The sequence below is a fragment of the Homo sapiens genome, chromosome 9 (assembly GCF_000001405.40).
Source record: "Homo sapiens chromosome 9, GRCh38.p14 Primary Assembly".
NCBI classification, from domain to species: domain Eukaryota; kingdom Metazoa; phylum Chordata; class Mammalia; order Primates; family Hominidae; genus Homo; species Homo sapiens.
Genome location: NC_000009.12, coordinates 84,744,491 through 84,766,650, shown reverse-complemented (window position 1 = coordinate 84,766,650; position 22,160 = coordinate 84,744,491). Strand labels below are relative to the sequence as shown.

Here is a 22,160-nt window from a genome sequence, read left to right as displayed (position 1 = left end):
GTTGAGGGGTGGATTCTCCTCTCAAAATGAAGCTGATCATGACCCTGAAGTGAAGTTTCCTCCATACTCTTGTATGAGGAACTCTCCCCGCATGAGATATCTTTCCCTTCAGTCATGCTTCAGTATAAGAAATTAATTTAATACATCATTACATCAGTGCTGCCCACATTTAATCTCTCTCCATACACTTTCACAATTTCTGTCGTATCCAAGTACCTTGGATAAGACAAGTACTCCTCACTCTGAATAAAAAAACAAAACAACAACAACAACAACAAAACTCCTAAATGCTGCAAGTCCCTCAGTGAGCTGCATTTCCATCCCTCTCTGCTCTCCTCCCCAGGCCCCCACTCTGCTCTGGCCACCTTAGTCTTGCACCCACTCTTCCTCTGTCTAGATCACTCTTCCCCAGGACATCAGCGAGCTCCCTCCCTCACTTTCTCTCACTCTTGGCCCCAGTGTCATCGTAGCAGAGCAGCTTTTCTTAACTATTTAAACACAGCAAAGCCCTCTTGCCCTGCTTCACTTTCAGTCATAGCATTTGCCATCACCTGTAGATTTCTCTATATTTCTTTCTCTGTTTTTCTCTCTCCCCTCCCATAAACTTTAATAAACTCCATGAGGTGGAAAGCTTGTTCTGTTCAGTTTTAAATTTGCAGTGCACTGGATAGTCCTACCCAATAGTCTTTTTAAAATTTAAGTTGAAATGAAATTGTTTAAACCATATTTTTTAATTTTTTCTATTATATTAATTTAGTCTCATCCTAAACAATAATATGATGAAACCAACAGTATGATGTAATAGGTATATTTTTTCTAATGAACACTAAAATAAATAGATAACAGAATTACCAAAATTTAAAATGTTAGTCCCTGAGCACCTCCTAAAACTCTCTTGTTACCACAGATCTTAAGTGTCCCCAGCTTTGAGAAACATAGCATTACCCAGGGGCAAGACAATACTAGTCACGTATGACACGCTCAAGCAGTGAACATGGCATGGAAATAAGTTGTGTTGTGGAGTCTTCTTACAAGTCTTAGTTTCACAGCAGAAAACACTGAAGCTGGAGTCATGAGACCTGGCTTCTGCCCCTGGATTGGCCACAAACCAGGTAACCCTCAGGCAAGTCGCTCAAGTTCTCTGGGCCCACCATCCTCATCTATAAAATAAAGGCTGCAAGTGATTTCTCACCTGCTGCTAGCTCTCACTGTCTTTGATGCTACCACCAGCCACAAAATGCAAAAGGGAATCCTGAAAGCATTTAGGCTCATTATACTCTTTTTTATTTATTGTTTTTCAATTTTTGTGGGCATATAGTGGGTGTACATATTTATGGGGTACATGAGATGTTTTGATACAGGCATGCAATGTGAAATAAGCACATCATGAAGAATGGGGTATTTATCCCCTCAAGCATTTATCCGTTGAGTTGCAAACAATCCAATTAAACTCTTTAAATTATTTTAAAAGCTACAATTATTATTGACTATAGTCACTCTGTTGTGCGATCAGACAGTAGGTCTTATTCATTCTTTCTGGTGTTTTTGTACTCATTAACCATCCTCACAACCTCCGCATCCCTCACTACCCTTCCCAGCCTCTGGTCACCTTCTACTGTCTGTGTCCATGAGTTCAATTGTTTTGGCTTTTATATTCTACAAATAAGTGAGAATATGCTATGTTTGTCTTTCTGTGCCTGGCTTATTTAACTTAACATAATGACCCCAGTTCCATCCATGTTGGTGCAAATGACTGAATCTCATTCCTTTTTATGGCTGAATAGTACTCTATTGTGTACAAGCACCACAGTTTCTTTATCCATTCATCTGCTGATGGACACAAGTTGCTTTCAAATCTTAGCTATTGTGAACAGTGCTGCAACAAACATAGGAGTGTGGATATCTCTTCCGTATACTGATTTCCTTTCTTTTGGGTAAATACCCAGCAGTAGGATTGCTGGATCACATGGTAGCTCAATTTTTAGTTTTTGAAGAACTTCCAAACTGTTCTCCATAGTGGCTGTACTAATTTGCATTCCCACCAACTATACTCTTATAATAAAATAATATTTTTGATATAGTGATCCTATTAACTGTAACTTTTTTTCTATAATCCTATGACCCTCCCTAGTGTAGGCAGCTGGATCCCAAGCACCCAATCATTGCCTCAAGGAAGAGTCATCAAGACAGAACTATAATGAAAGAGCTGAAATTCTTGGCCAAGGCCAGAAAGCTCTCCTTTAAAAAAAAATTAATGAAATAAAAACAGAAGAAATGATTGGATTAGAAAAACACCTCTGCAACCCTTAGAAATTAAGTAGCTTTTAGGAAAGTATGCTAAGCCCAGTAGGTTCAAGTTTTAGGAGGAGAGGATATTTGCTAGATGTCAAATTATCACCCTACAAACCAGCTATGAATTCCAAAGGGAAAAACTTGTATTTATAAAGAAAAGATCTGGTATCTGGTGGTCACTATCTTCAAAAGGTGATCCAACTTCCACTGATAGTGTAACAACCTGACACAATGTGATTCCAGATGTGACACAGATGAAGTGCACATCATCTTCTGTGATGTTTTCTTCCCAAAACCTCTCACCTGAATCTGACCAAACCTTTAGAAATAAGTTCCAGTTTATAGGAAATAGAGAGGATAAATGGCAAGTTGAAGAATACCAAAGAAAACAATCACACAGAGACAGAATGAGGGACATTCTACAGGACAACTGCCTAGTCTCTTCAAATAGCCAGTGTAAGGCAGGGAAAAAGAGAAGCCATGTTCTAGACTGCAAGGGACCAAAGAAACTCAATAAAAAAAAAAAAATGCAACGCATGAACTTTGAATTGATCTTGGTTTGATATATAAGTAACTATAAAAGGCATTTTTAAATCACTGGGGAAATTTGAAGATAGTCTAGGTAATATCTGTTATTACAGGGTTATCTTAATTTCCTTGAGCACAATGGTAATGGTATTGTGGCTGTGGTTTTAGGACACTGTGTCCTCAGTTTTAGGAAAAACATGCTGGAAATTTGGGAGTGAAGGAACATGATACTGTCAATGTATTTTTCAATAACAAGATGTTAAGCAGAAGTTGAATCTAGGTGTTGAGTGTATGAATATTCATTGTTAGTATTCTTTCAGCTTTTATTCATATTGAAAATTTTACAGTAAAAAGCTGGAGGGAAAAAAAAAACCAAGATCCACATATATGATGAAAAGTATGTGGAAGAAGATGAAATCAGAAAAAATCATTTTTCATGTTCTTCCTGTCCCCATAGGAAATAGGAAGAGAGTCAGTGAGGGGAAAAATGGTTAGATACAGGCAGGAAGAGTCTATAACCTGTCCCCAGGTCAAGTATGAGGGTTAAGGAAACACAGAGCCCTGACTCAGACTTAGAGTTTCAAAAAGAAGAATCCTGAGGACCCCTTTCTTGGAAGACGAGAGAAGTTGTCCAGAAGTCAGAGCAATCCCAAGCCTGTAATGGCACAAGAGTAATAAAGTAGGGGAATAGTATGTCTCTGCATAGTATGTCTACGCAGAGACAGTGGGGGCCAGTCTCAGTATTTTCCATGTCCCCAAAGCTGCAAAGACACCCTTGCGGAGACACATATGAAGGTGGCAGAACTTGGTTAGGAACACAAGATGGTACACCTATGACTTGAATAGAGTGGTGGCCAAGGACAACTGGGAAGATGGACAGCCACCAGCATACAGAAATTACCACCAAGGCCACACTGTGGCACTTTATTGAACTTGCAGCACACTCTCCACTATTTCCCAGAAAGGCAAATGCAACCTGAGTAAGGGAGAGGAAAGTGAGAGACCTGAAGTGACAGAGAAAGTGTGGAATTTTTTGTGATTACCCACCATTGTCTGAGATTACCCAGAGTGGTAGGAGATTAATTTTCTGCTACTCAGTACAGAAAGGGCTAAAAGGGTATACTTCATTGAACAATAGAAAAATAAAGTCACATGGCTCACAGGTTGTGCCTGAGATAGGTGTCTGCTCATTCTCAATCCAATCCTAGACATTTTACTGATTAATCCACCCTCTGCCATGACATCACAGGAAAACGAAGATATAATGTGAGGGATAAACGATTACATAATATGCACATAAATCTACCTCTAAAATCACCTTGCACTTGTCCTCACTCATAGAGGAAAGGCTACAAGTAAATAACACAGAAATTATGTCTTTTGGGCTATGGAATGCATGTCATTTCAATATAGAAACATCTAATGTTTCAAGGATTTACTTCAAACAAAATGACAAAGCCATGCTATGAAGTCTGACTTAAAAGATCAAGAAACAGCCCACATGTTGAGCTGCTCCCTGACATCCACACCATTCCAGGAAGAGATGGCTAAGGCAGGGCTGCCTCTCTTTGCTCTCAAGCTGGAATGTCAAAGGTACCCTTGTTTATTAGTCTGTTCTCATGCTGCTAATAAAGACATACCCAAGACTGGGTAGTTTATAAAGGAAACAGGTTTAACGGACCCACAGTTGCACAGGGCTGAGGTCTCACAATTGTGGTGGAAGATGAAGGAAGAGCAAAGAGACTTCTTACATGACAGTGTGCAAGAGAGAGCTTGTGTAGGGGAACTGCTCTTTATAAAAAAAAAACCTCAGATCGTGTGAGACTTATTCACTATCACGAGAACAGCATGGGACAGACCCACCCCCATGATTCAATTGCCTCCCATCAGGTCCCTTTCAAGACACATGAGAATTATGGGAGATGCAATTCAAGATGATATTTGGGTGGGGACATAGCCAAACCATATCACTCTGACAAGATGCATGCTACCTGCAAATTAACAGTAAACAGATTCACTGGGAATGCCAACTAAATAGAAAATACCTTCTATTGATAACTTAGAGGCAATATTTTCTGGAGATGACCGCACATTTGAAGGTATAGTCAGGGATATTTAGTGTTGGCTCCAGATGCAGTATTTCATATGTCAACAGTAAAGAGACTGTGGCTACACAATAGAGAAAAAGATTACATCATTACACACCATAATAATAAAGGATCTCACCAGAAGTGCAGGGCAGACTTTTGTAGTGAGTGTGTGATTGTATATAATGGTTTTGTAACAAGGTGGTAGATATTAAAGCTGGAGGGGAGGCTCAGATGATTCTCTGTCCTGTACTATTATAATATTTCTGGTCTTTATGCAATTTTCATTTACAGGCAATCCAGGAAGCAAGTGCAGGAAAGGCTCAGTTGGGTGGTTGACTATACTCAAGTCTTGCCAGGACTTCTAAAGTTGACAACCACAACCATAAATAGAAACACCACTTCATTCTCAACATTCTCCCTCCCCACAGCACCCTCACCCCTTAAGTCACCTCCCCCTTCCTTCCTTACACTGTCGCTGAAGACAGAGATGACTCTTCTGCTTCAATCCAGGATATTAATGTCTACAAAAGACTTAAAGAATTGAAATAGAGATCAGGTCACTAGCTCACTGGCTCATTCTCTCTCTCATTCTCTTTGTCCTCAGGCCACTAAAGTTCCCAGATGATCACAGAAAAGGCCAATGTGTTTCTGCTTTTGCTGACGCTTTGATAAAAACAAAGGTCTTCCACCACTGTTAGCCTGTCCAAGCCTTGGCTTTCTCACAGAAAATGCAGGGTCTGTGGTTATAATAATATAAATGACAATCTATTGCATAAGGAAGAATTTAATTTCTTGACAATCCCTCTTTTCCTTTCTAGCAGGCTGTACATACATCAGAATTAAGGCCTATTTTTTAAAATAAATCACTTTAGCAGTTATAATCCTTTCTGTACAAAAGGGAAACACATTAGAAGTTTCCATGAGGTCGTGTTTTTAGATCTAAGCTAGTGGGTGTTGGGGGGTCCCATCCCCCTCCCATTCCTGCCCTTTCCACCTCTTTACTTTGGAAAATATTTCTCCCCTGAAAAACTGCTAAAACCTACATACCAAATCAATCAATCAATGAAACAAGTTTTTATAAACCCCAAAATAATTTAAAGTGATGAATTCTTCAGAGGACAATAAAATTAAGAATTTGCAATAATTCACACATAGTGTATTAAAGGGCTGAAGGGCTTAAAAGAAGCACACATATCAGCACATTTGTATTCATGATACATACCCATAAAGTAGATACACATTGTAATTACAATTTTTTTCTATAGACTCAACTAATAAACCTGGAAACACTAATATTCACTGTTTACATTTGCGACATTTTTCTGCATTCCAGATTCAATATGAATTCAACAAGAATCACCCTATAATATTTTCTTTAATAATGTATTACTAAAACATAAATCTGAAAAGTAACTACCTCTTAGAGAATTAGTTTAAAGAGACAGATACTAAACTAAGCACTGATTTAATTCTTATAATCACCTGAAGAGATGAGTATTATTCCCTCAATTTACCAAAGAGGAATTAAGATTTAGAGTTTAACAATTTGCCCAAAATGATGACCAGCAGGCGGGAGATCTGGGATTTAAACTCAAGCATGTTTGATTCATATGTCTTCAATATTACTTTCCTATATGTTCCTTGGGTTGAAGACTCAGGAGTTAACAACTTACAAACATGAAGGATGTGCATTATTCAAACAGGCTGTCTTCTGAAGTGCCACGTGACAATTCTGCTGATTTAGAGCTAAATGTATTCCCATAGTCATTTAGTATTCTTGCTCAAAATAAAGTAAGATAAAATCAAAGCATATGTTAGAATTTAAGCCAAGTTATTATCTGTCTTCTTCATAAATTCTGAAAAGCTTTTCCACCAAAATCAGATGTTAGGAATGAGATGGAAGAAAAACAAGAGAGGAAAAAATATAAAATTAGAAAGCAAAGACATGCAGGACAAAATGACAGGGAAAACAACGAAAGGTAAAAGAGAAGTGAAGGGGGAAAAGAAGAAGAAAACCAGAAGATTTTCAGATTTTGAAAGTCCTGTCTGAAATAGGCCATAAGCTATGTGAGGAGGTCAAAGCAAATTCCCCCCAAGGTTAATGGAAGACCAAAGAAGTGGTAACAATATTTCCTGACCTTTAAGTACAAAATCTAATTTTTTATAGGCTCTTTCACCTTTAGTGAAAATACTAGCATGGAAAGTCCCAAACAATATTGCATGCACTTTCTACATTACAGGAAAACAAGAGCTCTCACATGAATCATGCTGCGGTTGTGGGAATTCCCAGGTAAAACCAGCAATTAAAAGGTAGAGTGCATCCACCTACAAGGCTAAAGGCAGAGATGCCGATTCTTTTGCTTCCTGTCTGGGCTACTCTAGCCAATTCTTAGAAGTCTGACACACATTTTCAATATGTTGTAAAGAATAAGCATCTTCTGCTCTCAGATAGACAGAAGCCAAATGTTGGCAGGGAAAGAAGTAAGAGACTTTAAAAAGTAGATCCTCACCTCACAAACACACGGGAAAAGCTTTCTATAGCATCGCCAAACAACAGAAAAGGAACACTTGGACTAATTCTTTTCTCTAGATTCATTTTCATTTTGTTACCTTACTCAATGACTCTTTCAACTGAATGTCTTTTCTGAAATTTCTGAGGACTTGGTTGATATTGACAAATTTTGTTGCCTCTTAAGAGAGTGCTGAGATAGACTTTGAACTCCACTTGAAGCTGGGAGGAGAGTAGTTTAACAAAGGGTTTCTGTGAAAACTTATTTCTCTGATACTATTTTGTGTGGTTTATATTCCCATGCTATAAGAAAGAACTGGCAAAGTTCATTACTTGTTTCACAAAGAAAGAGTTAATTACTGAGATTTTCAAAATTTCTCTTTTGCTTTATTAGTGGCTTTCTGATACAAGAAATTTAAAATATTATTATTCATCTCTATGAAAATGTCACACTAGAATTTATTCAAATATCTTTATTCTATACGTCTCTGAAAAAGAGAGGACTACTTCATACCAAAGTTTAATAAAATAATTACAAAAAGGCCGGGTGCGGTGGCTCACGCCTATAATCCAAACACTTTGGGAGGCTGAGGCGGGTGGATCACCTGAGGTCGGGAGTTTGAGACTAGCCTGACCAACATGGAGAAACCCCATCTCTAATAAAAATACAAAATTAGCCGGGCGTGGTAGCGCACGCCTGTAATCCCAGCTACTCAGGAGGCTAAGACAGGAGAATCACTTGAAGCTGGGCGGCAGAGGTTGTGGTGAGCCGAGATCATGCCACTGCACTCCAGCCTGGGCAACAAGAGTGAAACTCTGTCTCAATAATAATAATAATAATAATAATTACAAAAAGACTAAAGGGCTAAGTTTAAAAAATACATAGAGTAAAAAACTAGTGAAATAAATATTTAGAAATATGTTTACCACCTTAGAGCAGGAAAGATCTTCCTAAGCAAGACACAACTTAAATGGAAAAGATGGACAGATTTGCTTTTATAAAAAGGTAAATCTCTTTGGTTACCAAAAGACACTATCAAAAAGTCAAAAGACTAGAAGAAAATATGAGCCACAAATATCATGAATAAATAAATATATATATATAATTGGCAAAGTATATCTATAACTCAACAATAAAAATAAACATTACTCTTATTTTTCACATGATAAAGATATTTACATTCATTATTAATCAATGTATCATTTAAACTCAAATAGCCAAAAGATTGATAATATTCAGTATAGATCAGAGTAAGAAATGAAAGGGTATCCTTACATACTGTTAGTGGGAGACTAAATTGGAAAGGCATTTATGCAAGGTAATCTATTCACATTTAAACATATATATCTTTCCTCCTAGCAATACATTTCCAAGTATCTATCTTTATACAGAAGATATTATTTGAAAATTACTTGAAATAATTTTCTGAAAACTTGGTAAAAACATAAATGTCCATTAAAAGAAGAAAAGTCAAATAAATCATAATTTGTCAATAATATTAACAACATTACATATTTATAGAGCAATTACTAAGTGTCAGAAACATTCCCAAGTGGTTTATATATATAAGCTCAGTTTGTCTTCATAACAACCCTATGGGTTAGGTATTAGTATTGTCCCATTACAGACGGAAATACCGAGGCAAGAGAGGATGAGATATTTGCTCAAAGTCACATAGCTCGTAAGAGGCAGAGCCAGGTTTCAGATCCAAGTAGCCTGATATCAGACAACTGGGAAATACTATTAAATGGAATGTAGTAGATAGCTAGGTACTGATAAAGAAAAATCCGCAAGGCAAATTGTTACCCCCAAAAAATGCAGAACAAGACTGGTATTATAATTTCCTTATGGAATCAAAAATGAAGCCATATATTTGATTGTTTACATACTATATGCACCCTATACAGTTAAAGAAAGTTATTTCTAGGAGTGGAAATGGTCATGCAGAAGAAGGTGATGGGAACATCCATTTTTATGTTTAGGTATTTCTAAACTCCTTGAAATTTTGAAAAACAAGAGTGCATTCAATTGTTACCATTCTAATTTTTCGACGGCATTTTTCTTTAAAAAAAAGAAGAAGGAAGAGGGTGCATATGGAAAACAGTTTGTCCTTACAGATGTTTCTACAACTGTGTTTCTGGCTTTTGGTCACATTTTTTCCTCTTAAAAGTTGATCCAAATATCTGTTAAACTCAACCTCTTAAATTTCCCAGAATTGTTTTCAGCTCATATAAAAGGCTTTAACCTTCAACCTCTTTAGCTTTGGCCCCGCTATGTTTATGACTATTTTTAAATAGGCAGATTTTTGGTTGCTATTGAAAGACACTCAGAGATCATTTATAAGAGCAGAAAGTTGAACTGTGGGCCTTCAGTCTGGACTTAGGAAAACCCAGATCTGCATCCCAAGGCAGGGTAGCTTTCCAGCCTTTACTAGTTGGAAACCTCCAACACTTAAGTAGGACAAATGAATGTGGATAGGGGAGTTTACATACAAGAATCAGAGGCTGCAGAGGAAATCTGTGCAGTCTATTAGCACTGAATGAGAAGAAAGCTTCCTCTTCTAGTCTCTTCTACAGAGATTTCTTAGGGTCATTTAGATATTTCACTCTTGAGTGACAAAGGCTGCATTAGTACTTAGGAATTAGATATCATATGTGGACTTCCATCAGGAAATGTAAATAACACAAAACTGATAGCCGAAACTATCCTCCAGCAGGGTGATGAATGCCAAGCTCCCTCCTCCCTGCTGGCTCCCTTATATTTTTTGCAACCCTGTACACCATCAATGCCACAGGCAGGGCTCCCAATGTGGAGCACCCTTTGAAGACTTGGCAGCTCTGGTGCTCCTCAATGCTTCCATTTTCCCCTCACATGCACTCCTACGTCTTCAGTGAAGACACGGAGCCAGGAAGCAATGCGAGAGCTAAACACAAGACTTGGTTACAACACAAGGAGAGCATTCAAAGGCATGGTTGCCTATTCCTTTGGCAATGGAGCTGTTCTGGAAAATTCTTTCAGCCCTACTTCAGTGAAAACTAAAATTAAAACAAACCAGAGGCAGCCTTAGAAGAAAAGGGATAATATTATGCATTTTCATATAGGGATATTGATACCGACATAGATTTAGACAGATTTGGTATACATTTTATTCATACATATTAAACATATGTATGAATAAGCCCTACATAGATGGCCAACACTAACAGAAGGGCATTATTTGGCTTCTGCAATTATGGTAGCTACATATCAACCAAAAAAGCAATAGGACAGTGTAAAGGCACAGAAATAAACAAGGAAAAACTGACTGGGAGATATTCTACCCCTTGACATCTTTATGGAAACAGGGCCGGGAGCCTATTGGACACTAGCAGCAAGAAGCTTAAACTCTATCAAGCAAGAATAAAACATAAATTCTAGGTTTACCACAAGATAAAATCCCCAATCTAGCACTTTTGCCAACTTCAGAACTGAAAAAACAACATATTCCAAAACGATACATTCAAAGGTAGGGAGGTAGAAATTGAAGATGTTCACATGCAAAATAAAAAGTCAAAGTGAATCCTCCAAACTTAAACAATGACGATTGTTGAAAACAGTGTGTGAAAACCTACATACCCTGAGACAAAACCGGGACAAACTGATCTCTTATCTATGGCCATGACTCATATGGAATAACCAAAAAAAAAAAAAAAAAAAAAAAAAAAAGAGGTGGGACTTTGTCTCTTTTAGAAACTTAGAAAAGTCTCAGGTTCTCTCTTTAGTCACTCACTGTTTAGCCATCCTCCAAATACTAACTGTTTTCCAATTACCGAACTTAGGTGGACGGAGTTGAAAATCTTCTCTGATCATTCTGTCGTTAATATGTATTGAGCGCCAACTCTGGGCTAGGCACTCAGTAGATAAAGATGAACACCACAAATATGAATGCTGTTACCATGGAGCTCAAAGTCTGTGCTGCCTGTTCTGGAGTGGACCATCAGCATTTGGTTTACGATGAATCCACAGAACAAGGAACAAAACCCGACGAAGCTTACAGACCTGCAGACCCATCTTCAAAGACAACACTGCAATTCACTGGTTGCATTTACAAATCCAAGTTTCACTCACTAGTTTGGAATTTAGAAATCACCTCCCCATGGGAGCAATACCATAAGTAATGTTTGCAGGAGTAAGGGGTGGATCTCAGGCCAATCCATAAAGCTTGTGTTGCCCTGCACTCAGCTGTAGTGTGGTGACCTTAAGAGGTTTCTGGGGTTTGTTTCTCTGGGCCCTTCATATCAGCAGCATTGAACTGTCATTTATATTCTCGAGTTTTCCATTACAGATTGAAACAGTCAACACTCGAAATAAACCACGCATTGCTAGGGATGGGCAAAAAGCTGTGAGTGCCTATGGGTGAGCTGGCCACCTTCCTCCTGTCCCATCTGCCTCCAGCAAAAGAGAATAAGGATGAGCTTAGACCCTCCCCAAAGATGCTTAGGAAGGGAGGAATAACATTCTGAACAGCTCATCTGCACAGCAGCCACAAGCCTTTCACATGGTGCCTAGTCCTGGCCAAAGCTATGCACAGTTCATACCGTTGTTACTAAGAAACCACAACTAATACATTGCCTGGTTATTTTCGGAAGCATAATAGTGTTTTTACATTTTCTTCCCTTTTTTAAGCATATGTTTTTCAGTGGTAATCTCAGCTCTAATAGCATTTAAAATACACTGACTCACATTAATGTTTAAATACCACGTTTTAAGCAGTTTCATCTGCACTTGATACATGAACCATATCTTAATTTCTAGATCCCCAAAGATTTATCAACTCGACATCTGACTTGCAAAACAATAACCCTAGATCAGGCTCTTTTTATTCACATCATGCCCCAGATAGACATGTAGCTTAAAATAGAACAGTAAGCTATTCTAAAAAAAAAAAAGTCTCTGAGACAAAATTTCTAAAAATGATTTTATTTGTGTGTAGGAATGAGGGAACAAAACATACAATATGTATAGTAGTTACTGCTGTAGGAAGCCATTTACTGGCTCTGTGGCAGGGTTAAGCACACTCTTTCTTATAATTCATTAAGGATGCCCTCAGGTTATACTCAGAAAACGTAGACGCTTTAGTGGTAATCACCCCAAATTATCTAAATGAAATACTGTTTCAGCGTTAGTGCTGGAGTCTCAATATGCAACATAATTTTCTTCTCTGAAAGAAAATGTCTACGCTTTTTCTCCTCCATTGCCACATTGTAAGGAGTAGGTTGCCATTTACTGGTAATTCTGCCAGTGATTTTCCTAAACCAAGGGTGGGAAGAAGTTCCTAAATTTTGCTCCATGGATTCCCACTTAGCTTTTGCTGAGATCCCAGAAGAACCTGGGTATATCCTCTCTCCAAAAAGCTCATGGGATGAAATATTTCAAACTAAACCCTTCAAGACCAGAAACTCTAATGTTAGTTGGTAGCCTCCAGTGAAATCTATGTTTAGAGACATCCAGTCCAAGTGCCTCTAAGGAAGGAAAGCACCTGATAAACATGAGAACCGCCAAATGCCATGGTAGGGTGCGGCACACACAGAGCAGCCGCCTAGCCTGGGCCTGGGTGCAGTTGAGATATGGGGATCCCAAAATGTGTGCAAAGCTGTGGGTGAGTTTGGTTTGCGATGTCTCTACCAACATCTTGTCACATTCTGAAGGGGGCCTGGCAGCCCATGTTTATTGTAGAGAACAGTGATTCCCTACACTGTTGTGTAGAGAACACAACAACCAGGGCAAGCAGGATCAGTATTCTCCAGAAACTGTTAGAAATGCCAGCTGTCAGGTGAACACTAGGCCTGCTAAAGCAGAAACTCTAGGGGTAGCCCAGGAATCTGTGTTTTCTCAAGTCCTATAGGAGTTTTTGGCACACAGTCAAGTTTGAGAACCACCCCACAGGATGAATTAAAATCACTGTGGGGTGGTCCCTCTCCCAAGCTTTATTTATAATTGGAGAATGAAAGATCTTTCCTCCCCTGAAGAAACATCAAGGATCAGCTGGCCAAGCAGGAACCAGGACGAGGTTTTTTGAGTTATTTTAAGCCCCAATTTACCACCACTCCTCCCTGTTCATTTCTGGCTTAGAAATGTTCACAGGCACCAACAAAGGGAAAAGAGGAAACATCAGAAATAGATCTGCTCTATCCCAGATGTCAGTGTATGCTGGGCAACTTATTGCTACTGAAACATTCCCTTTCAAGTAAATAGCAATATTAGCAACATTACCCATAATTCTAACAGACCATACAGATAAAGAAAATCCACCTGACCTACTCTCCAGCACAACTAAGACACCACTAAACCTTCTTCACAGCATTCCCATTTAGACACTTTTAAATAGTGTCTATCTATAGGAGACCACACAAAATACAACACTGGCATATTATCCAATACATAAGTTTAAACTTCAGAGCAAATGGTTTTAAATCATTAAATCACTGCTCCAAGGCATTTTTTATGTAACAAGAAATTTATACAAGTTTTCCCTGTAAAATTAATTTTCCATCCTCTAAAAAAAGACAAGTTATCTATTTTGGGTCAATTAGTGCCTAATTTTTAATCTAGCCCTGCTAATTTTTCCACTTAAATAAAAAAAAAGCTATGTATTCACGAAGCTTCTATATACTGCTGATAGCTGTTCTTATTTTGCTTCATAACACTGTTGTTTAAATTTCAAAGAATGAGGATCTGGAAAAGCAGGAACAACACCAAAAGCATACCACTGAAGATTTGGGAATCAAATGTACAGCAGCATAGACCTTTCTGCACAAAATACATGTGTCCAGGTTATCCTATCCCCACTGTGTCTCACCTGCCTTTCTGGAGCAAAAGAAACATCAAGTACTATTTCTTTGTCATATCTTTATTAGTCCCTTGATACTCAAGAACCCAGTTCTGTCTCCCGGGACAACTGTTCTCATGGAAAAGTGGGTAGTGCTGAGTAATCAACATTATTTTGCTCCGTCTTGATTTGTAGTATCAAAGCCTTGTTGCTATTTTTTTAGCCTTAAAACCTAATCATCATAAATCTAGCCACTTCCTTCTTTAGTGGTAATTAGCATTAGTCATAAGCCAAAAATGATCCACATAAGAAGCTAAATAAACACAACCCTTCTTACCTTTCATGCCAAACTTGGAGTGTCTTGCCAACTTAAGCAGAAACAGCATTACCAAAAGGCAAAATCCCACCACAGACGCAATCACCACCACAGCATAGACCTAGAGAAAGGAAGGGAGGGTGGTTATAACCTTGCTAATTAGTTCCCTATAATCATATGGTGATGATGATCATGACGATGATAATGATACAGGCAGTTCATATTTATTGAATGCTTACCACTTGTTCTTATAACAGCCTTATGTACACCAACTCACTTAATCTGCGACAACCCTATAGTGAAGTATGTAAGATCTATTATTATGCCTACTTTACAAATGAGAAAACATAAGTTAAAGCTTATAAAAATGGCTATCCAATTGGCATTTTAAAAATATTACAGCTCTCTCTCCATCCATCTAAAGAGGGAGGAGAGAGAGAAAGAGAGGTGGGCAGAGAAAGGGAGAGAGAGAATATGAAATATGAACAGCAAAATACTGGTGATTTTTCTGTGTGTGTGTGTGTGTGTGACGGAGTCTCACTTTGTTGCTCAGGCTAAAGTGCAATAGCACAATCATGGCTCACTGCAGCTTCGACCTCCTGGGCTCAAGGTATCTTCCCACCTCAGCCTCCTGAGTAGCTAGGACTACAGGTAAACACCACTATACCTGGCTCATTTTTAAGTTTTTTTGCAGAGACAGGGTTTTGCCATATTGCCCAGGCTGGTGTTGAAATCCCGGGCTCAAGGAATTCTTCCACCTACACCTCCCAAAGTTCTGGGAATATAGGCATGAGCCACCGCATCCAGCCCGATAATTCTTGAAGCTGGTGAAGAATACAATGGGGTTCATTTTACTATTCTCTCTACTGAAGTGCATGTTTGAAAATTGTCCATAATAAAAGGCTATTTTTAAGGTTAGCTATTGTTGCTCTTAGAAGTCAGGGTACCCTGGGAACAGTGAGTGGCACTGGAAGGGAGCAGGAGGGCACTTCTGGGGTGAGTTCCACTTGTCAAAGCCCATTGGGTTGTAAATTTATGATATGTGCATTTTCCCATATATATGATATAAGCCTAAAAATGTTTAAGTAAGTTTAAAAATGTAATTGCCAGGTGTGGATTACACAAGTCAAGAGGGTAGATGTAGATATATGTGAATCCTCTCCCATCCCAGAGGTAGAGATGACAGAGGTACACATAGAAATGCGATCACTCTGCTACCATTGCTGCTGACCAAGGCATGATGCTCCTCTAAGTGCATCTTAACATTTTAGAGCAAAGTTGTCAGCGGCACTATGTGTCTCCTTCCAGTCTTACTCAGCCCAAAGTCCTGCTTCCAAAAACAGTTGGCTTCTCTAAACCAGGAGTTGGCAAACTTTTGCTGTAAAGGTCAGATGGTAAATACTTCAGGCTTTGCCAGCCTTGCAGTCTCTGTCGCAACTAAGGATCCAGCTCTGCCGGTGGAGCATGAAAGCAGCCAATGATGATATGTAAACAAATGGGCATAACTGTGTTCCAATAAAACTTTATTTACAATGGCAGCAGCTGGACTTGAACATAGTCGCCAATGCCTGCTCTGAGATTTCTTAGAGAGCCATTCTGGCTTAAGAATCTGCACAACAATTTTTAAGATGGATATTATTATCCCTATCCATAGTAATCATTAATGCTGTTTGTCTAATATTTCTGGTTTTCTCTGTGTTTCTCTTTGTAGGATACATTTCCTGGCTTGCTTGTGGTTAAGTGGTTCATGTGACTAGTTCAGACTTGTGTCACTGCCAGGGTGTAGAACTTCACTTCTTGTCCAAGATCTTAGTCTAAGGCAGTGTTTCTCAACCAGGGACAATAATATTGCCATCCAGGGGACACTTGACAATTTGGGGTTGTCACAACGAGGGGGAAAGTACTACTAGCACCTAGTGGGTAGAGGCCAGGCATTATTAACATCCTACTGTGCCCAAGACAGCCCCCCAAACAAAGGATTATTTATCCCCAAACGCCAATAGTGCCAAGGTTGAGGAACCCTGCTCCACCTGCTCCACAGTGCTCTTTATCTCTGTCATAAAGAAAAAGGCTAACCTTTAAAAATGTGGATGCTTTGTCATCCACAGTCCTGGAACAAGGACAAGGCTGAACAGAGCTCCTAGCCAATACACGAAATGAAGCAAGAAAGAAAACTTTGTTGTTTTAAGTCCCCAAGATGTGGAGGTTTTGTTACTGCAGCATAGCTTATTCTGACTGATATACCCATCTCATAGTGAGAAGCATTATAGGGTAGAGATTAAGACCATGGGTTTTTCCTGAGTATAAAATCTAGATTTCTCACTCTGCTGCATGACTTCAGAATTACTTAACCTCTCTGCATCTCATAATCTTCATGTGTAAGATGGAGAATATAATTATTCTACTTTGTAGGTTATTGTAAATCCTCAATGAGTTAATGCAGGTAATGGGTTTGGAACAGTATCTACTACAATATATAATAAATTAATGTTAGCTGTGATGATGATGATGAAAAAACTAAGATTTACAAAAAAATTAAGTAAGCTGCTCACAGTCACACCTTCTGAGCTTGGAAATGGAACCAAGTCTGCCCAAGTATAAATCCTGTGATTTATCCACTACACTGTCTCTGCAAAGCATGTGGTTGAGAATGAAGGCAGGAAAATAAAAACATATGGCTAATTCTCCCAGGACACCATCTTTCATGTCAGATGAGAAGAGCATTAAATAAATCACAGAGCACAAAAAGAAGACATACAAAGCTCTTGGCCAGTGTGGAGCAAAAGTAATGATCATTCTCTTCTCTGGTACTTTAACTGTGAGTATATCTCCCCAAAAACGCTTCTGCAAATGTTTGAGTATAGACTTTTTTTTTTTTGAGACGGAGTTTCGCTCCTGTTGCCTAGGCTGGAGTGCAATGGTGCGATCTTGGCTCACCACAACCTCCGCCTCCTAGGTTCAAGTGATTCTCCTGCCTCAGCCTCCCTAGTAGCTGGGATTATAGGCATGTGCCACCACACCTGGCTAATTTTGTATTTTTAGTAGAGACGGGGTTTCTCCATGTTGGTCAAGCTGGTCTCGAACTCCCAACCTCAGGTGATCCGCCTGCCTCAGCCTAAGTCCTGGGATTACAGGCATGAGCCACCATGCCCAGCCAATACAGATCTAACTCCGTCTCTGCAGCCTATATACAAACAGAATGGTAGCAACTCCTACAAAGCTAATTATGGATAAACGTAACCATTTCACTCAAGCTGACCTCATGACTTTGGGTGTTTTTTAAAAATCTTTATTTCTAACTAATGTTTTCATGGGAAAGAGATCATAGTATTTTAGCTATAAGTTTCTTTATTATTAAATTGCAGACTTCTACAGATAGATGGAGAATACCTAAATAAACAAAGTCAAACTCCATTTGATAAATAAGAAAACTGCGATGGGGGAGGTTAGATGACTTGGCCTGAAAGTCCCCCAACCATGCAGCAGTACCACAGTACAGTCTCTTCCCTGCTTTGGACAGTCCTTAACTGGGATTTAGGAGTCCTAGATCCCTGCGTTCACAGGACACCTTGCTTTTACCAGTCATGACAGCTAGAAGAGATGCTTCACTTATCCAAGCTTCTGCTTCTTCATTAGACAGTAATGCCTGCCCTGGCTTCTCTGCCTAGTTATAGAATGTGTAAGTCAACCTAGAAAATGGGAAGTGGGCTCTACTGCTGAAAAGCAGCTAAGGATCTGTAAACAAATACTTAAAGCTACTGAAGCCATTCTAAATTTAAATCCTTTCGTAAACAAGGATGCCTTTGACAATGAAAAGAATTACTTCCTCAAAATCAGATTGAGAAATACAGAATTTTGTGTACCTTGCATGTGTTGAGGTGGTTTTTACACGGGAGATGAGCATGGGTGAGTTTGTTTGGTCAGTTGTTTGATTGGTTGGTTGGCTGCTTGATGGGTTAGTTTTCATCTGAGGATATTTCTTAGGATAGAACAAGGGAGATCTGCCCTCCCCTGCAAATCCAACAAAATGCTGGAAGAGCACTTGTTGGACCAGAAACATTTTTAACTTTTGTATCTGCTTCTTGGCTCTCAAACTCTTCTAATCTAATGATCCCTCCTGTGATCAAGAACTCTTTATATATAAAATATCTGAACCACACAAATTCTACAAAACACAATATTGCACCTCTCATACAGATTTTAGGAGCCTTCCGCAAAGTCATAATATACAAACTCACTGATCTTGCCTTCCAGCAACTATACTATAGATGGAGATATGCCAATCAGGTGCCTAAATTTATCATTTGTATTTTAAAAACCCCAGAAGGCCAGGTGCGGTGGCTCATGCCTGTAATCCCAGCACTTTGGGAGGCCGAGGCGGGCAGATCACAAGGTCAGGAGATTGAGACCATCCTGGCTAACATGGTGAAAACATGTCTCTACTAAATAAAATACAAAAAAATTAGCCAGGCATGCTGGCAGGTGGCTGTAGTCCCAGCTACTCGGGAGGCTGAGGCAGGAGAATGGCATGAACCCGGCAGGCAGAGCTTGCAGTGAGCCGAGATCGTGCCACTGCACTCCAGCCTGGGTGACAGAGTGAGACTCCATCACAAAAAAAAAAAAAAAAAAAAAACCCAGAAAACTAAAGTCAACATATAATTTTGTGTAATTGGGCTTAATACATGCTGCTTGGATTTCTTACGTACACAAACAACTTTCTTACACCAAGAAATATTAAGTGGATTGGTATAAGAATTAAAAACTAAAATGATTGCATACGGCAGGAAGCAGATACCATTCCCCAGTTGACTTACCATGGTATTTGTTCTTGCTATTTCAATGTAATGCATATAGTCATCTACGGAAGCATGTGTGTTTGTGTGTATACGTGTGTGCATGTGCATGCATGCATACCTCTATACTAGATATGCATAAAGTTGCAGTTGCACTGCATCTGTTTACGCACCTCCCATTTCCACTCTTGTGGCCTTGGTTCAAGTATATATCACATGTCTTTATTGCTCCACCAAACCCCTAATGGATCACCCCTTTCCAATTCCTCTGCCCTATACTGTTCACTGCAAGTCTAGCCAGTCTGCAAAATGTACTAGGTGCCTACTAGGTGTCAGCCAGTATTCTGAAGGCTTAAGAAGACAGCTGTGAAAAACACTGACCACGTTGCCCCTACTAAGAGTCTTACTAAAGAATCTAGAGAAGAGAAAAATACATTAAACAAACAAATAAATGGGGTCATTCCAGACAATGATAACTGCTCAGAAGAAAATGGAAGTGGGCAATGGCTGCATGCTGGCCACCTAGCTGAAGCCACATCATGGCCATCAGGAAGCAAATGCCTGGGATGGGGAGCCACAAGTACAAAGAGCAGGACTGGAGCACTGGAGAGAGCATGAAAAAGGCAGGTGGCAAGCAGTAAGAAGAGCGTGGGAGATGAAGTCAGAGAGCTCGGGAAGGACGAGGTCACCCAGGGCTCATAAGCCACCATGAAGAGTGTGGCTTTCATATGAAAAGTTTTATTGCAATTGCAGTGAGAGGACTCTGAGAATTATAACAACAAAAAAAATGATCTGATCTGCACTTTACAAAGATCACTCTGGCTGCTGTGTGGGAAAAGACCAGGAAACACAAGGCTGGGAGAGGGAGATGGGTTAGGAGGCTGCGTGGTCATGCAGGAAAGAACAACTGAGGCAAACTTTCCTTGTAAAGGGCCAGAAGTAAGTATTTTCCACTTTGCAGACCATATGGTCTCTGCTGCAACTACTCCACCCCCATCGGAGCACAAGAGCAGCCACAGACAGTACGTAAATGAACACAAGTGACTGTGTTCCAGTAACACTCTGTTCATGGACAATAAAATTTTAATTTCACAAAACTTTCGTGTGTTATGAAATATCATTCTTTTTTGTTGTTTTAAACCACTTAGAAGGTAGAAACCATTCTTAGCCTGAAAACCATACAAAAACAGGTGGTGAGCTGGACTTGGCCCATGGGTCATAGTTTGCCAACCCCTGGGTTAGCCTGTGACAGTGGCAGTGGAGGTAAGGAGATATGGACAGATTTGGAATTTATAAGGAGGCAGAGCTCACAGGAAGCTCTGTGTGCATATGACAGTGAGGAAAAGAAACAACTGGAGGAAGTTGTTGGGTTCGGACCAGAGCAACTGACCATAGACCCCTGGGATCATGTGACTTCCCTCTTCAATGGCTCTTCACTGTGCCATAAATCTACACACCTGAGACTCTGTGTCAAGACCTACAACCTGGCCACAATCTTTATCTCCAACCCTGCTGTCCTGCACATGCCTTACCCTCCAATCAAGCACCTTCACGATGTTTCTCCACCTACAAGCTCCTGTTCACATGCCCCAAATGCCCTTCTCTTCCATTCCTGTATGTCAAAATCCCAACCCTTCTGCACAGGCCATGCAAAAAGTCACTTGCCCCACAAAGGCTCCTCAGAGTGTCCCAGCTACAAGGAACAAAACATCTGCTCCTCCACTTCTATCTCTTGTACTGCCTTGCTCTGCTTCTATTTGTATTTGAGGTGCTAATATTCACCTCCAGGGTCTCTGATGAATTCTAAACAACTAATCTTAATTTTGTTCATATGATTATATCCCCTCCACCGCCAGTCCCTTTCAGAAGCTACTGGATTCCCTACATCTAGCGAGCAGTCAAAATTATATTAAAAATTTAAGGAGACAGGTATGAAGGTGTAGTCCCTGAATGATAAAGCTGGTTTCTTGCTCTTCTGGTGATACCCTTCTAAAGCACAGATAATTGAAATAGGAACCACTAACAACCAAAAGTGGTGCACAAAAGCAGCAAATAAGTCAAAGGCCATATAACACCTTTATCACTTTTGTTAAGCCTTTTATTAATTCTTCCAACCTAGGTGTTAACACCCTATTTATATCTGAACAATAAAAGTGTCTTATTGAAGCAGCTACATTCCTCTAACATGGAGGCATCCAAAATGCTCAGAACCAATTCAGACACCTATTTATTCCACTCACCGAGAGATGTTCCCGACCGGTTTTATCAGTGACGTCTGTGGAAGGGATTTCATTACTTCTGTTCGTGGTGTCCCCGATGTCATTCGCTGCAGTTCCATAATCTTAAGTGGGCAAAGGGGGAATGAGGAAGAACATGAAGTTGTCATTAAGCTGCCAACAAACACAGGGCCACAGTAAGAGCCAGAATGAAGCAAGACAAATCACAAAGATTCCAAACCCCCGACAGTCTGGCTGTGGAGGGACGTGACCAGGCTGCTGAGTTCAATGCACTGCAGCGCTGAGACTGCACAACGCCCACATTTTATTCAACCCAGACCTTTACATCATTGTCTTGTTGGTCAGCCCCAAACCTGGTTCAGGGATTTTTCTTTGCACATAAGCATATACCCCTTTATGGATGGCATATTTAAAACAAGTACGACAGGGAATCGATCATCTACGTGTCATAGATTTATAGACCCGGAAAGGTCTTCAGAGACAGAGCATAACTACCAGTTTTACAGCTGAAGAATATCAGTGGAGGAAAGTTACATGACCAGGTGAAGGCAAGAAGATGGTAGCGCTCACACGTGACGCCAGATTT

General features: G+C 39.7%; 1 protein-coding gene across 38 annotated transcripts in view, besides 1 other annotated feature; it reads right to left on the bottom strand.

Annotated features, from left to right (window-relative positions):
- Positions 1–22,160, bottom strand: part of NTRK2 (neurotrophic receptor tyrosine kinase 2) — a 358,533-nt gene that overhangs the window by 260,404 nt on the left and 75,969 nt on the right. For 37 of the 38 annotated variants that reach the window (XM_017014751.3, XM_017014753.3, XM_047423432.1 and 34 more), the window contains 2 exons: positions 21,578–21,678; positions 14,566–14,665 (listed from right to left, as the gene is read on the bottom strand). In XM_017014751.3, the coding sequence (XP_016870240.1) occupies positions 14,566–14,665; positions 21,578–21,678 (201 nt within the window). Of the gene's footprint in view, positions 1–5,378; positions 5,432–14,565; positions 14,666–21,577; positions 21,679–22,160 lie in introns of all 38 variants that reach the window. The other variant, NM_001369547.1, reaches the window with a different exon arrangement.
- Positions 7,037–7,236: an enhancer, noted in NCBI's record as "active region_28510". NCBI's record gives its function as "activates an Ori minimal core promoter by ATAC-STARR-seq in GM12878 lymphoblastoid cells {active_cell/tissue: GM12878}" and the evidence as "EXISTENCE:reporter gene assay evidence [ECO:0000049][PMID:35858748]".